The 13,790-nt window shown below is 37.6% G+C and overlaps 1 protein-coding gene across 17 annotated transcripts in view; it reads right to left on the bottom strand.

Moving 5' to 3' along the window:
- Window positions 1–13,790, bottom strand: part of HDAC8 (histone deacetylase 8) — a 243,328-nt gene that overhangs the window by 119,237 nt on the left and 110,301 nt on the right. For 16 of the 17 annotated variants that reach the window (NR_199815.1, NR_051952.2, NR_199812.1 and 13 more), the window contains one exon: window positions 13,252–13,346. Coding sequence is in view for 12 of the 17 variants with exons in the window: in XM_047442255.1 (XP_047298211.1) it covers window positions 13,252–13,346 (95 nt within the window). In the remaining 5 variants the exon portion in view is untranslated. Of the gene's footprint in view, window positions 1–8,646; window positions 13,351–13,790 lie in introns of those variants that run through there. The other variant, NM_001410729.1, reaches the window with a different exon arrangement.

The following is a 13,790-nucleotide window of genomic DNA, read 5'->3' on the forward strand; positions in this document are numbered from 1 at the left end:
CAAAAAGTAGGTGAAGGATATGAACCGACACTTCTCTAAAGAAGACATTTATGTGGCCAGCAAACATGAGAAAAAGCTCATCATCACTGTTCATTAGAGAAATGCAAATCAAAACCACAATGAGGTACCATCTCACACCAGTTAGAATGGCGATCATTAAAAAGTCAGGAAACAACAGATGCTGGAGAGGATGTGGAGAAATAGGAACGTTTTCACACTGTTGGTGGGAGTGTTCAACCATTGTGGAAGACAGTGTGGTGATTCCTCAAGGATCTAGAACCAGAAATACCATTTGACCCAGCAGTCCCATTACTGGGTATATACCCAAAGGATTATAAATCATTCTACTATAAAGACACATGAACACATAGGTTTGTAGATGTTTATTGCAGTACTATTCACAATAGGAAAGTCTTGGAACCAGTGCAAATGCCCATCAATGATAGACTGGATAAAGAAAATGTGGCACATATACCCCATGGAATACTATGCAGCCATAAAAAAGGATGAGTTCATGTCCTTTGCAGGGACATGGATGAAGCTGGAAACCATCATTCTCAGAAAACTAACATAGGAACAGAAACCAAACACCGCATGTTCTCAGTCATAAGTGGGAGTTGAACAATGAGAACACATGGACACAGGGAGGGGAACATCACACACTGGGTCCTGTTGGGGTTGGGGGCCTAGGGGAGGGAGAGCATTAGGAGAAATACCTAATGTAGATGATGAGTTGATGGGTGCGGCAACCACCATGGCACGTGTACACCTATGTAACCAACCTGCACGTTCTGCATGTCTCCCAGAACTTAAAGTATAAAAAAAAAATTAGAGGGAACAAACAGAAAACATACTGTTTAAATAAAATGGCAGACTTAAGCCCTAACATATCAATAACTACATTAAAAGTAAATCGCCTAAACACACCATTGGAAAGACAGAGATGGCAGAATAGGTTAAAAAAAAACACAATCCAATTATATCCTGTCTACAAGAAACTCACTTCAAATGTAATGATATAGGGACATTTTTTAAAGGGATGGAAAAGATAAGGTATGTAAACAGTAATTAAAAGAAAGCACTTCTTTTCTTTAGTCATTTCCTTTCTGTTTAGTTTCTTAAAAACAACACACCTATTCTTACAATATGATATAGCATTTGCATTCCTAGGCATTGTTCCCAGAGATATGAAAACTTATATCCACACAAAAACTGTATATAAGTGTTTAATTTTAATAGCCAAAATTGGAAACAACTCAAATGGAGAAATGATTAAACAACCTATGGTACATCTATACCATGGAATACCATTCATCCATAAAAAGGAATGAACTATTAATGTATGGAACAAATTGGATGGATCTCAAGGGAATTATCCTGAGGGCAAAATCCAATCTCAACAACTCACATAATGTATCATTCCACTTATATCACATTGTCTAAATGAAAAAGTCATAGAGATGAAGAAAGGTCAGTGATTGCCAAGGGTTCGTGATGGAGTAGGGGAAAAGAAGGCAGCAGTGGCTATAAAAGGGTAGCACAAGGAAGGTCTCTGTGATAATGGAACAGCGCTGTATCCTGACGACGGTAGTAGTTACATCAATCTATACATATAATAAAATTGCCTATGCACACACAGGCACACACAAATGGGCTCATGTAAAACTGGTCAAATTTAAATAAGGTCTGCTGTACCAATGTCAATTTCCTGGTTTTTTTACTGCAGTATAGTCATGTAAGAAGTTACCACTGGGGGGAACTGAGTGAAGAGTACATGGTACCTCTTTGTAGTACCTTTACAATGGTCTGTGAATCTATAATCTTTTCAAGAAAAAAGAAGCTAAGGAAATCATTGGATGAGATGAAATAAAAAAAATTCATTGGATGGAATGAATAGTAGATTGTATACTAAGGAATCAGTAAACTTGAAGACTGATCAATAGAAATCAAACAAACTGTAGCCTGGAGAGAAAAAAACTGAAAAAAATAGTAAGCTCACTTCAGTGTCTTGTAGGACAGCATCAATCAAACATATTTGTAATTAGAGTCCCAGAAGAACAGGAAAGGGAGAATAAGTTAAAAAAAAAATAAAGAAATACTGGCTGATACTTTTTCCAAATCACAGGTTGAGTATCCCTAATCTGAAAATCCAAAATCTGAAATGTTCTAAAATATGAAACTTTTTGAGTCCTGATATGATGTTCAAAGGAAATGTTCACTGGAGCATTTTAGATTTTGAATTTCCAGATTGCAAATATTACAAAATCTGAAAAAAAATCTGAAATCCAAAACATTTCTGGTCCCAAGTGTTTTAAAAAAGTGATACCCAACCTGTATATAAAAATTAGCAACCCACAAATCCAAGAAGTTAGGGAATCCCACATAGGATAAATACAAACAAATGTACACTGAGGCATATTACAGTCGATGTTCTTTCTCTCTGTTTTTTTTTTTTTCCTTTTGAGACAGAGTCTTGCATTGTTGCCCAGGCTGGAGTGCAGTGGTGTGATCTCAGCTTACTGCATACTCTGCCTCCCAGGTTCAAGTGATTCTCATGACTCAGCCACCCGAGTAGCTGGGATTACAGGCATGTGCCACCACACCGGGCTTCTTTTTGTACTTTTAGTAGAGATGGGGTTTCACCATGTTGGCCAGGCTGGTCTCAAACTCCTGGCTTCAAGTGATCTGCCTGCCTTAGCTTCCCAAAGTGTTGGGATTACAGGCATGGGCCACCGTGCCTAGCCCACAGTAAAGGTTTGAATACCAAATATAAATTTATAAAGGTAGCCAGAGGGGAAAAGATACATTATATACAGGGAAACAATAATAATAAGACTAATATCCATCAGAAACAACAGAAGCCAGAAGAAAAGAAAAACTGTAAATGTAGAATTTAAATCCTACAAAAATATTCTTCAAAAATGAAGGCAGAGAAAATGAAGGCAGATAACTAAAGGACTTCGGCTTCTGGCCATGAGGGCGAGATTACTTTCTCTCTAGAGACAACTGGAAAATTAACAAATTACAGGAAACATCTATTTTCAGAAATTGGACAATAAACAGTACAAGATACTGATTCCTGAAAGACAGAGGATACGAATGAGGTGAACCCTACTTTCACCCAGGCTTTCTACCTGGAAGTAATCCCTGGACTGTGGTGTAGGAAGGGGGAATCCAAACAGAGCCCAGCAATCTCACTGAGTAGAGGAGATGGATATTGGAGTTCAGAGAGGCCAAGGTGGTTAGAAATTGTAGAGATGGAGCTAAGCCAAAAAAAGAATACTAGAAATATACGTAGAAGTCTACTTGAGTCTTTTGAAGAATACCAGTCTGAACATGTATAGGGTACAACTTCACAAGAGTAGTCCTGAAAAACTTACAGAAAAACAATTATTGTGGTGTTGTAAGATGAACAATTCCTGGCTGGGTGCCGTGGCTCATGCCTGTAATCCCAGCACTTTGGGAGGCTGAGGCTGGCGGATCACTTGAGGTCAGGAGTTCGAGACCAGCCTGGCCAACATGGCGAAACCCCGTCTCTACTAAAAATACAAAAATTAGCTGGGCATGGTGGCACATGTCTGTAATCCCAGCTACTGGGGAAGCTGAGGCAGGAGAATTGCTTGCACCTGGGAGGCGGAGGTTGCAGTGAGCTGAGATCATGCCACTGTACTCCAGCCTGGGTGACAGAGCAAGACTCCATCTTAAACAAACAAACAAACAAAAACCAACCAAACAAAAAAAGAAGAACAATTTCTAGAGCTCACAAAGGGCCAAATTGAAGAGATCTCACTGAATACCTGGGGTAACAGTATAGGCTTCACAGGGGTAGTACATTCAAAGCAGGCTAAATTAGCCCTAGAATAAAAAGGCTAGTCAAGACCTACTCTAAATTAATTTCAAAACAAAACTGGAAAAGGATCAAACTGATCCACAATAACTTAATTATCAGGAAAAAAGTATAATCCTCTTGAAATCCAATTATTTAAAATCCAGAATTCAACAATATAAAAGTCATGACATTTGATATCCAATAAAAAATTACTAAACATGCAAAGAAGTAGGCAAATGTGACCTATAATCTGAAGAAAAATCAGTTAACAGAAACAGACCCAGAAATGACAGAAATGATGGAGTTAGTAGACAAGGACTCTAAAACAGCTATTATAAATATGCTCCATATGCTTAAGGAGGTAAAAAAAATATGAACCTAGTGAGGAGAGAAATTAAAAATATTTTTAAGAATGGAAATTCTAGAGATGAAAAACACAATATTTGAAATGGAAATTTCACTGGATGAGATTAAGAGCAGGTGTACTGCAGAATAAAAGATCAATGAACTTGAAGGCAAAGCAATGGAAACTCTTCAAAATACATCACAGGGAGAAATAAAAGACTGAAAAAAAAAAAAAATAGGCCGGGCATGGTGGCTCATGCCCATAATTCCAGCACTTTGGGAGGCTGAGGCAAGAAGATTGCTTGAGCCCAGGAGTGGCAGATCAGCCTGGACAACAGCCTGGGCAACACAGTGAGAGCTTGTCTCTACAAAATAAAACAATTAACCAGGCATGGTGGAGTGCACCTGTAGTCCTATTTACCTGGGAGGGTGAGGTGGGAGGATCGCTTGAGCCCAGGAAGTTGAGGCTGCAGTAAGCTATGACTATACCACTGCGCTCAAGCCTGGCTGACGGAGTAAGACTCTGTCTCTTAAAAATAAAGAAAGAAAGAAAGAAAGAAAGAAAGAAAGAAAGAAAGAAAGAAAGAAAGAAAGAAAAAGAAAGAAAAAGTAAAAAGGTCACAGTGAATGATGCATGAAACTTCAACATAACTGGTCTAACTAGGTTTAGCTGGAGTCTTAGAAGTAGAAGAAAGAAAGAAGTAACAGAAAAAAATAGTGGTTGAAATATTTCCAAATTTGATAAAAACTATAAACCCACAGATCCTAGCTCAATGCATCTCAGACAGGATAAATCCAAAGACAACCACATGACAGCATATTAGAATCCAGCTGCCGAAAACTAGTTATAAAGAGAAAACTTAGCAGCCAAAGAAATATGACACATATTATACAAGGGAACAAAGATGAAAATTTATCACAGACTTCTCATGAGGAAATATGTAAGCAAGAAGGCAATGAAATAATATCTTTGAAGTGCTAAAAGAAAAATTATCAACCTAGAATTCTACACCTAGTGAAAATATCTTTCCAGAATTAAGACAAAATAGAAACTTTTTCAGACAAACAAAAGCTGAGAATTTGTTGCTAGCAGACCTACGGTATAAGAAAAATGAACTGAAGTTCCTAGGCAGAATGCAGTTTGTGCCAGATGGAAACCTGGATCTACACAAAATATTGAAAAATGCTGGAATGGATGAATATAAAAGATATTTTCTTACTCATAATTTCTTTAGAAGACCATGTAGGGTCATGTTGGAATCAGCAGATCCAGTGGTGGCTGCCTATGTACTGAGCTCAAAGGACTGCCACCGAAGGCCAGAGAGGAGCAAAGCATGCTGTTACCCTGGTGGCAGACAGGAAATGGAGTAACACGGTCCAGCCAAACACAGCCCAATTAGGGATATAAGGGGTGTTGTCCAGAGCTAAAAGACTTGCTTTCTCAAACCAGGGCCACAACATCTATGTTTATAGAGCTGAAAAAGATGAAACTGAAACATCAGTAAGGGTTCTGACCCATGGAAGGAAGAACTTTACTTAAAAAAACTGGGTGAAATTGTAAATAAGAAATGAAATATGATTAAAATTATCTTTATATATGTAACGAATTTACCTTATAGTGTCTTATGCAACAGAACATTTTTGAACAGTTTCAAAATAATTCGTCATTTAAATTGTAGCATCATTTTTAGACCATTCATTCATAGTTAAGGGAAAAGGAATTGAATATATTAAGTGTAGACATGATGAACTCAAATAGCCAAGAATTGTTTGTTGCACCTTTTCAAACTAGAAATTAAAAAGTCATTGCAGCATGTTATAGGTAAGTTATTTTACTGCATTGGCTAGAGAATTCCACATTATAGCTTGGAGACCAATAAAGCCTTGGACAATTGACATTGCTCACTGCCTATTGGATGAAAAGTTAGTAAAATAGCTTACAGCATTGTCTTTTCTCAATGGCACAGTAACTTGTTTATTTAAACATTTAGCTGTAATCATGAAGACTTAGTTAGCATCTCATTTACAGAATTTATTCGCACCTTACAAACAGACAAATCTACAAATATGGCTGGGCTTACAGTTTTGCTTGTAGTCAGTCATGTGGTATCAGCACTAACTAATCTTTGAAGACGATCTTCTTTTATGTGAATGGTTGGCAACAAACATGAGTAGTGCTAAAATGTTCAAAGTGCTGAATAACTTTGAATCTCATGGTTTATGCTGGAGCAACTTTGTTTATATTTGCATGGAGGTGCAAAAGCAATGGTGGGTAAAACTGCAGATACTATGGTACAAATTAAGGCAATAGCACCAAAGTATACCAGCAGTTATTGTATTATTTACTGACATGCACTTATAGTAAAATAAAATCCAATTTGACCTAAGAATGTCCCTGATAAAGCACTAAAAAGTATTAATTTTATTAAATCCTGATGCTGGATTTAATATTCTGTGTGATGAAATTGGAGGTATACGTAAGGTGCTTCTGGTATAAACTGTGCTATGGTGGTTGTCTTGAGGAAAAGCATGTCAAGTTTTGAGCTTAACTAGCCACATTTTTCATAGAACATCATTTTTGCTTGAAAGAATGATGGATAAGGCATGATTAAATACTTGGACATTTGGCAAATATTTTCTCAAAAATGAAATAAGTTTGTCACTTCAGGGCAAACAACTGACAGCATTTCTTGCCAATGATAATATTCACATTTTTTGAGTGAAAATTAGAATTTTAGGAAACTTCATTCTGCCACTGGGAGCATAACAGCTTCTCAATACTTAAGCTTTTTTTCCAGTGAGATCGGTGGTGAGATCAATGACTGATTTTTTGATACTGCATAAAATGTGTTAGCATTTGGAATATTTGCATAACTTAGTGAACTAATATTTTCCAAATAACCAATATGTATAAGATGGGTCAAATATCCACTCAAAGAATAAGATGACCAATGAGTTTTAATGTAATAGTACATAAAAAGTTCACTGATACGGTTTCAGATTCCACACTGGATTAACCTTTAAGAAACTTTCATTTGTGAAGTTTTAGTGTAGTATCGAAGAATATCCATAATTATCTGAAAGTGTATTAAAATACATTTTCCCTTTTCCAATTACATATCTATGTGAAGCTGGATTTTCTTTATATATTTTTAAAAAAACAACATCTCAAAACACACTGAATGTAGAAGCAGGTATGAGAAGTCAGCTGTCTTCTATTAAGCCAGATGTTAAAGAAATGGGCAAAAGGGTATAACAATGACATTTTTCTTAAGAAATTTCTTTTTATCTTTGAAAATACAGTTATTTTTCATCAAAACATGTTATTTGTGCTAATATATGCTGGATTTATTCTACTTAAAATGAATTAGTAAATATTTTAAAAACTAAAAAAATTGTTCAAAGCAAAACAATAACAATGTATCAAGAGGTTTATAACATATGCAAAAGTAAAATATATGACTACAATAGCACAAAGAAAGAGAAAGGAAAAAAATGGAAGAACGCTGCTGTAAAGGTACTATATTATATGTGAAGTAATGTAATACTATTTAAAAGTTGACTCTAATAAGTTAAAAATGCATACTATAGGCTGGGCATGGTGGCTCACACCTGTAATCCCAGCACTTTGGGAGGCCAAGGCAGGCGAATTACTTGAGGTCAGGAGTTCAAGACCAGTTTGACCAACATGGTGAAACCTCATCTCTACTAAAAATACAAAAATTAGCCGGGTGTGGTGGTGCGCGCCTATAGTCTCAGCTACTGGGGAGGCTGAGGCAGGAAAATCGCGTGAACCCGAGAGGCGGAGGTTGCAGTGAGCCAAGATTGCACCACTGCACTCCAGCCTGGGCGACACAGCAAGATTCTGTCTCACAAAAAACAAAAAACGAAACAAAAACAAAAACAAACAGATGCCCAGATGTAAACCCCAGAGAAACCAAAGATCAGCATTGCCCTGATATCAAAACCAGACAAAGACACTACAAGAAAAGAAAACAACAGGCCAACATCCCTTATCAACATAGACACAAAAAAACCTTGACCAAGTTTCAGCAAAATGAATCCAGCAATACATAAAAAGGATAATATAACATGACCAAGCAGGGTTTATTCCAGGAATGCAAAGTCAGTTTAACATTAAAAAATCAGTGCAATTTACTGTACTAACAATAAAGGAGGATACCATATGATCATTTCAATAGATGAAGAAAAACATTTGACAAAATCAGTACTCATTTGTGAGAAAAAAAAAAGTCTCAGTAAATTAGGAATAGAAGGGAACTTCCTCAACCTAAAAAAGAACATTTTTGAAAAATCCTACAGCTAATATCACACTTCATAGTGAAGATTAAGCACTTTCCCCCTGTGACTGGGGACCAGATAAAGATATTCACACACCATTTCCACTCAGCATTGCACTGGAGGTCCCAACCAGTGAAAAAGGTGAGAAAAAGAAATAAAAGACATGAAGATTATACAGAAAGAAAATTCTCTTTATTCACAGATGATGTTTGCATACATGGATTATGCTAAGCAATCTACAAAAAAGTTACTAGAGCTAATAAGTAAATTTAGCAAGGTTACATTATTCAAGATCAATATGAAAAGTCAATTGTCCTTCAATATTCTGGCAACAAACTATTGGAAATTGAAATGAAAATACCATTTACATAGGATCAAAATAATGAAATACAGTACTTAGGGATAAATTCAATAATATTTGTGTAAGATGTGTTTACTGGAGAGTACAGATTATAATTTGGAATTAAAGAAGACTCAAGTAAATAGAAAGATAAATTCATGGCTTAAAAGATTAAATATTGTTATGATGTTACTCCTGCACAAATCAATCTATAGATTCAGTGCCATCTACAGGTTACAGTGCAAGAAGGCTGTTTTTTTATTAGTAACATATACTTGTATATAAATTGACCTAATTCTTTTTAATGGCTACATATGTTCCCTAATATGAATGAGGTACAGTTTAATCAGTCCATAAAAAGCAGTCTGGTTAAGTAGTGTTAATATTTTCCATTAGTAAACCTATGTGATGATACACATATACATACACACACACACACACACACCCCAGCCCTACTCTATCCTAGATAAGTCACGGGATCTAAATAGTAGTACTGGACTATAGAACATTTTTATACATAATAATCCATGTGATTGTGCTAAATTTGCCATGTACTGGTCTTTTCATGGTACCATGACACCTTTGGGCTTTCCCTATGGTAGAGATATCTGGGCCAATCATACATACAAGCTCCATTCTTCTCAGCTTTCCCAGCTGGGACTGCTTGGCTGGCCAACCTGGCTCCCCAGTGCTCTGGCTGAAACTAACTTCCTCATCACTGGCTTTATGCCATCACTGGCCTTATGGCATCACTGGCTTTATGGTATCACCGGTTTTATATTTTATGAGCGCTATACTTGAAGTCCTACCCTTATCACTTCTAATATTTGTGCTGGGCTTCTGCCTTCTGAACTCCATTCCCTGCATTGGTAATATAATGTTCTCCCATGGATACACCTGTTTCCTATAGCTGGGCTACCTGATACCTCTTGCAAAGGATGGAAAGTTGCTATTAAGGTTAAATTGGGTTCCCAGAGAAAGGCTAGATTACGCTTCCAATTCTTTCATCTTAAAAAAATAGAAGTTTCCCAATATGAATATTGAGACACTTACTCAAACACTCATTTATTCAACTAGGTGGTGGCTACTTAACACTCAGCTAAGCACTAGGGTTGGGGGCGTGGTGCAGACAACCAAAACAATGATGACCAAATGAATGGCACAGACTGTAAGTGTTATAGGTATATATTTGAATCTCTTAACAGGTCTGCGTTTCTCAAGTCTCTCCTCTTTGCAATCTATCTCTACCAACTGAGCTTTTTAAAAGTTAAAGCTCATTTGTTTTCACAGAAAAAAGTGTAAGCTCTTTAATGTAGCATTCAGGGCTCTTCATAATCTGGCCTTAACTTCCATTCAAGCCTTAATCCTTCCTACTGTCTCTCATATACCCTGTAATCTACACATAGCAAATTTTTCACTGGTCCCATGAGGCACCAGTCCCTTTCTGATCTTTGTTCCCTCTGCCTAGAATGCCTTTTTCTTCTTCTTCACCTAGCGAACTCCTAATCAGCCTCTAAGAGTCAGTTCAAAGTCTTGTTGAAACATATCCCCTATGGTCCTCATCTGTCCTGGATGTGAGCACATTGTTCTGTCACCTTTATTAGATCGTGAGATTTTGGAGGGCACTGGGATTATCTCATTAGTCTTTGTATCTCTGAATCCAGGTCTCAATAAGGCCTGGCAAATAGTAGGGGCCCAACACATAATTGTTAAATGAAACAAGGAATAAATGAACGTGAAGGAAGAGCTCAAAGGGGATTGATGTATTTAGGTAAGGGTTTTTGAAGGGCACAGGACTTGAAGCTGGACCTAGGAAGATAATAGAGAAGTAGGGAACGGGCATTTGGAGGAGGAGGATTATTACCCTAGGAGATGAAAGAACTAAAGCCCAAGACTGAGAGCGAAGAGAGTGAGGTCAGCCCGGCTGCAACTGACCACTGCATTATCTTGACCTTTTCACCTACTAGATTTCTTGATTATATTTTCAGCTCATGGAGGGCAGGGTATTTTATGTACTCCTTTGTATCCCCTTTATATTTGATGCACATCTCCACAGTCACTCTTCCTACTGTCTTATTCTTTTTCTGCTCTGTATTATAACTATCTGTGCATTTGCATGTCTCCCCAGCACTTACACCACCCTCCCTCCCTAGCTGCTTGAGGTAGGGGATGAATTTCTCTCTTTGCATCTCCTAAGACATTTAGCATGGTGTCTGGCACATAATGGGTGCTCAGCAAATATTTTTTGATCTACCATTTGTTAATCTGATTTCAGAGGACCACAAGGATATTTGTGTGCAACTGTGTATTGTGCCACAGAACTTATATGACTTCACACTGTGTAGCCTAGTTTTGGCAATTTTCATTAAAATGTTATCTTATTGTACCTGTAAGACTGTCATTTCAATTTTATTCTTTGTTCTTTCTTGCATGACTCACATCTCTTAAACCAGAAGGATATGACAGAAGGAATTCACAAAAGGTTTGGACAAATTTATGAATGACATAGTCATAAATGTCTGGGTATAAGAAGTGAGCAGCATGCAAAGAAGAAGGAGATAACTTGCATTTTTTTTTCTTTTTTTTGAGACGGAGTGTCACACTGTCACCTAGGCTGGAGTGCAATGGCATGATCTTGGCTCTCTGCAACCTCCACCTTCCGGGTTCAAGCAATTCGCTTGCCTCAGCCTCCCGAGTAGCTGGGATTACAGGCGTGCACCACCACGCCCAGCTAATTTTTTGTATCTTTAGTAGAGATGGGCTTTCACCATGTTGGCCAGGCTGGTCTCAAACTCCTGACCTCAAGTGATCTGCCTGCCTTGACCTCCCAAAGTGCTGGGATTACAGCTGTAAGCCACCATGCCCGGCCGAGAACTTGCATTTTTAAAGTGCCTATTAGATTCCAGGGAACTACGTGTTAGGCACTTGACATACATTATATCTCATTTAATCTTACAGAATATTTCAGTATAAAGACAGAACACCTATTTATGAGGCCCAGCTTACACCCATTCAGGCCCACAGCTTCTCCATGTACCAGAGGCGATATTCATCTTTATTAAAATTTTATCAATCTTTTAACACAGATGAAACTTTGGATTTGCTTTTGCTTCTCAGGAATAGAGCATTCATTCTCAGTTCAGGCTTCTACAGCTTAAAACTTGTTTCTGACATAACTTGATCAGTTTATAAAGTCCCAGAGCTTTAAATTACAATGCAATCTGAGATATTCCCACAGCAATAACAGCGATTACATTTGTTCACAGCACTTACCTTTATATTTCATTAAGCTTCCAAATACTGAATAAAGGTAAGACAAACCAAGAAAAGAGACTTCTATTAACCCTGACATCAGCAAATTGTCTCAAATTATAGTGTACCTTCTATTTGTATTCTAGACATATTGAATGGTTTTTGTGAGATACATATTGTACCTCACCTGAGGTTAGGAGAAAATTGGAAGGAAATTAGTTTAAGTTGTTTCTAATTTTTAAAAAATAATAGCAACTTTAAAAAGCATCATGCTCCCAAGTGTACAGCTACTGTATCTGGCAGAAATCATAACATTAAAACCAAAGCAGCATCCCTAATCCTTGGGAAATAGCTTGAGAAGGTGGGGCTGCATGTACTGGTTTGTTATTTTAAGTCATCTAGTCTAAGGTCCGTAGTTATACATCTTGATCTATAACATGGTTCCTACTTGCAGGGGAACTGGGGTGATAGGTAGGAACAAAGGTATGCCTTTGGATTAGGGATTATCAGCACACTCACAGGTCCCAGACAGCTTTCCATGAACTTGTTTTGGGAAAACTAGAACAGACATCTTTGCTTTGGAAAACATAAAGCCCATCTTGTATGACTAAAGAAAATGGCAAGGGCTCAAATGACGTTTCACATTTTGGATGGTCCTATTCCAGCCTCTGTGTGCCACTAATTGCTAGAAAAACATCAGCAATGGTCTTTGTAGTGCTTGTGGGTTTCTTGAATTTTACATTAGTCAAAGAAAATTGAGAGATCAGGACTACCACCAAAGAACATGTGCCACGTACCACCTATGAAACTTCTTAAAAAAAAGATGAGAATCCAGCTTACACATTTTAAAAATAGCCCCTTCCTTTTTGAGGCTAGGGGATAAAAATATGCACATATTCCAAAGAATTCTTTGTGTGAACAGGTGACCCCTTCCCACAGTCTCTGTAATTAATTGAGAAATTAAAGTTGGTTGGCCTTTGAGATCTCTTGTAAAAAAACAAAAAGGCAGAAGGTCTTGGATATTTTGGAACAAGAGTCCACTATTCTGCCAAGACAGTGTGTTATTGTTATTGAAGTGTCTCTCAACAAAACGGTATTGAGTGGTGAGGACGTGATTTTGATTAGGTGGAATGACTCAGCTCTTCCCCTTAAAGAAGAGAGGACTTGTCAGAGCCTTACTTACCTCATGATCTGGGATCTCAGAGGATAGTGTTTTCCCTAGGATGACCCCGGTCAAGTATGTCCAGCATCGAGCCGTGTTGGCAAGGTTATAGCCTCCTGTCTCCATCAAGAATTGTGAAGTTAGGAAAGAATAGTCATAAAACAGCAGGAGAGGGAAGGGGGGTAAGGAAAGAGAGAAAAATGTTTTAAGAAAAGACAACCTCAAATTGCAGAATTTCCCCTAATCCCCCCTTTGTGATATTTTTAAACCACCTAGTAGGCAGACTTTGGTGGACCAGTCAAATCATGCACAGTGTAAAACTGGGCAGTCCAAGGTCTGCAAAGATTAAATAGGCTCCCATCTCCCCAAAAATATGTACCTGAGGAATCCAAACTCCTCAGTTCCATCAAGAGCCATCAGCAAGACTCAGATCTCTGGAATCCAGATCTCTTGAGGTGATCTACCCAATGGAAAGATTTCTGTGATGAATTTTGCAACAATTCTATAAAATGACTGCTGAATGTGATTTGTATTTTTAAAACTATTGGCAGATCTAGCCC

This window comes from Homo sapiens, chromosome X (genome assembly GCF_000001405.40).
Source record: "Homo sapiens chromosome X, GRCh38.p14 Primary Assembly".
Classification (NCBI taxonomy): Eukaryota; Metazoa; Chordata; class Mammalia; order Primates; family Hominidae; genus Homo; species Homo sapiens.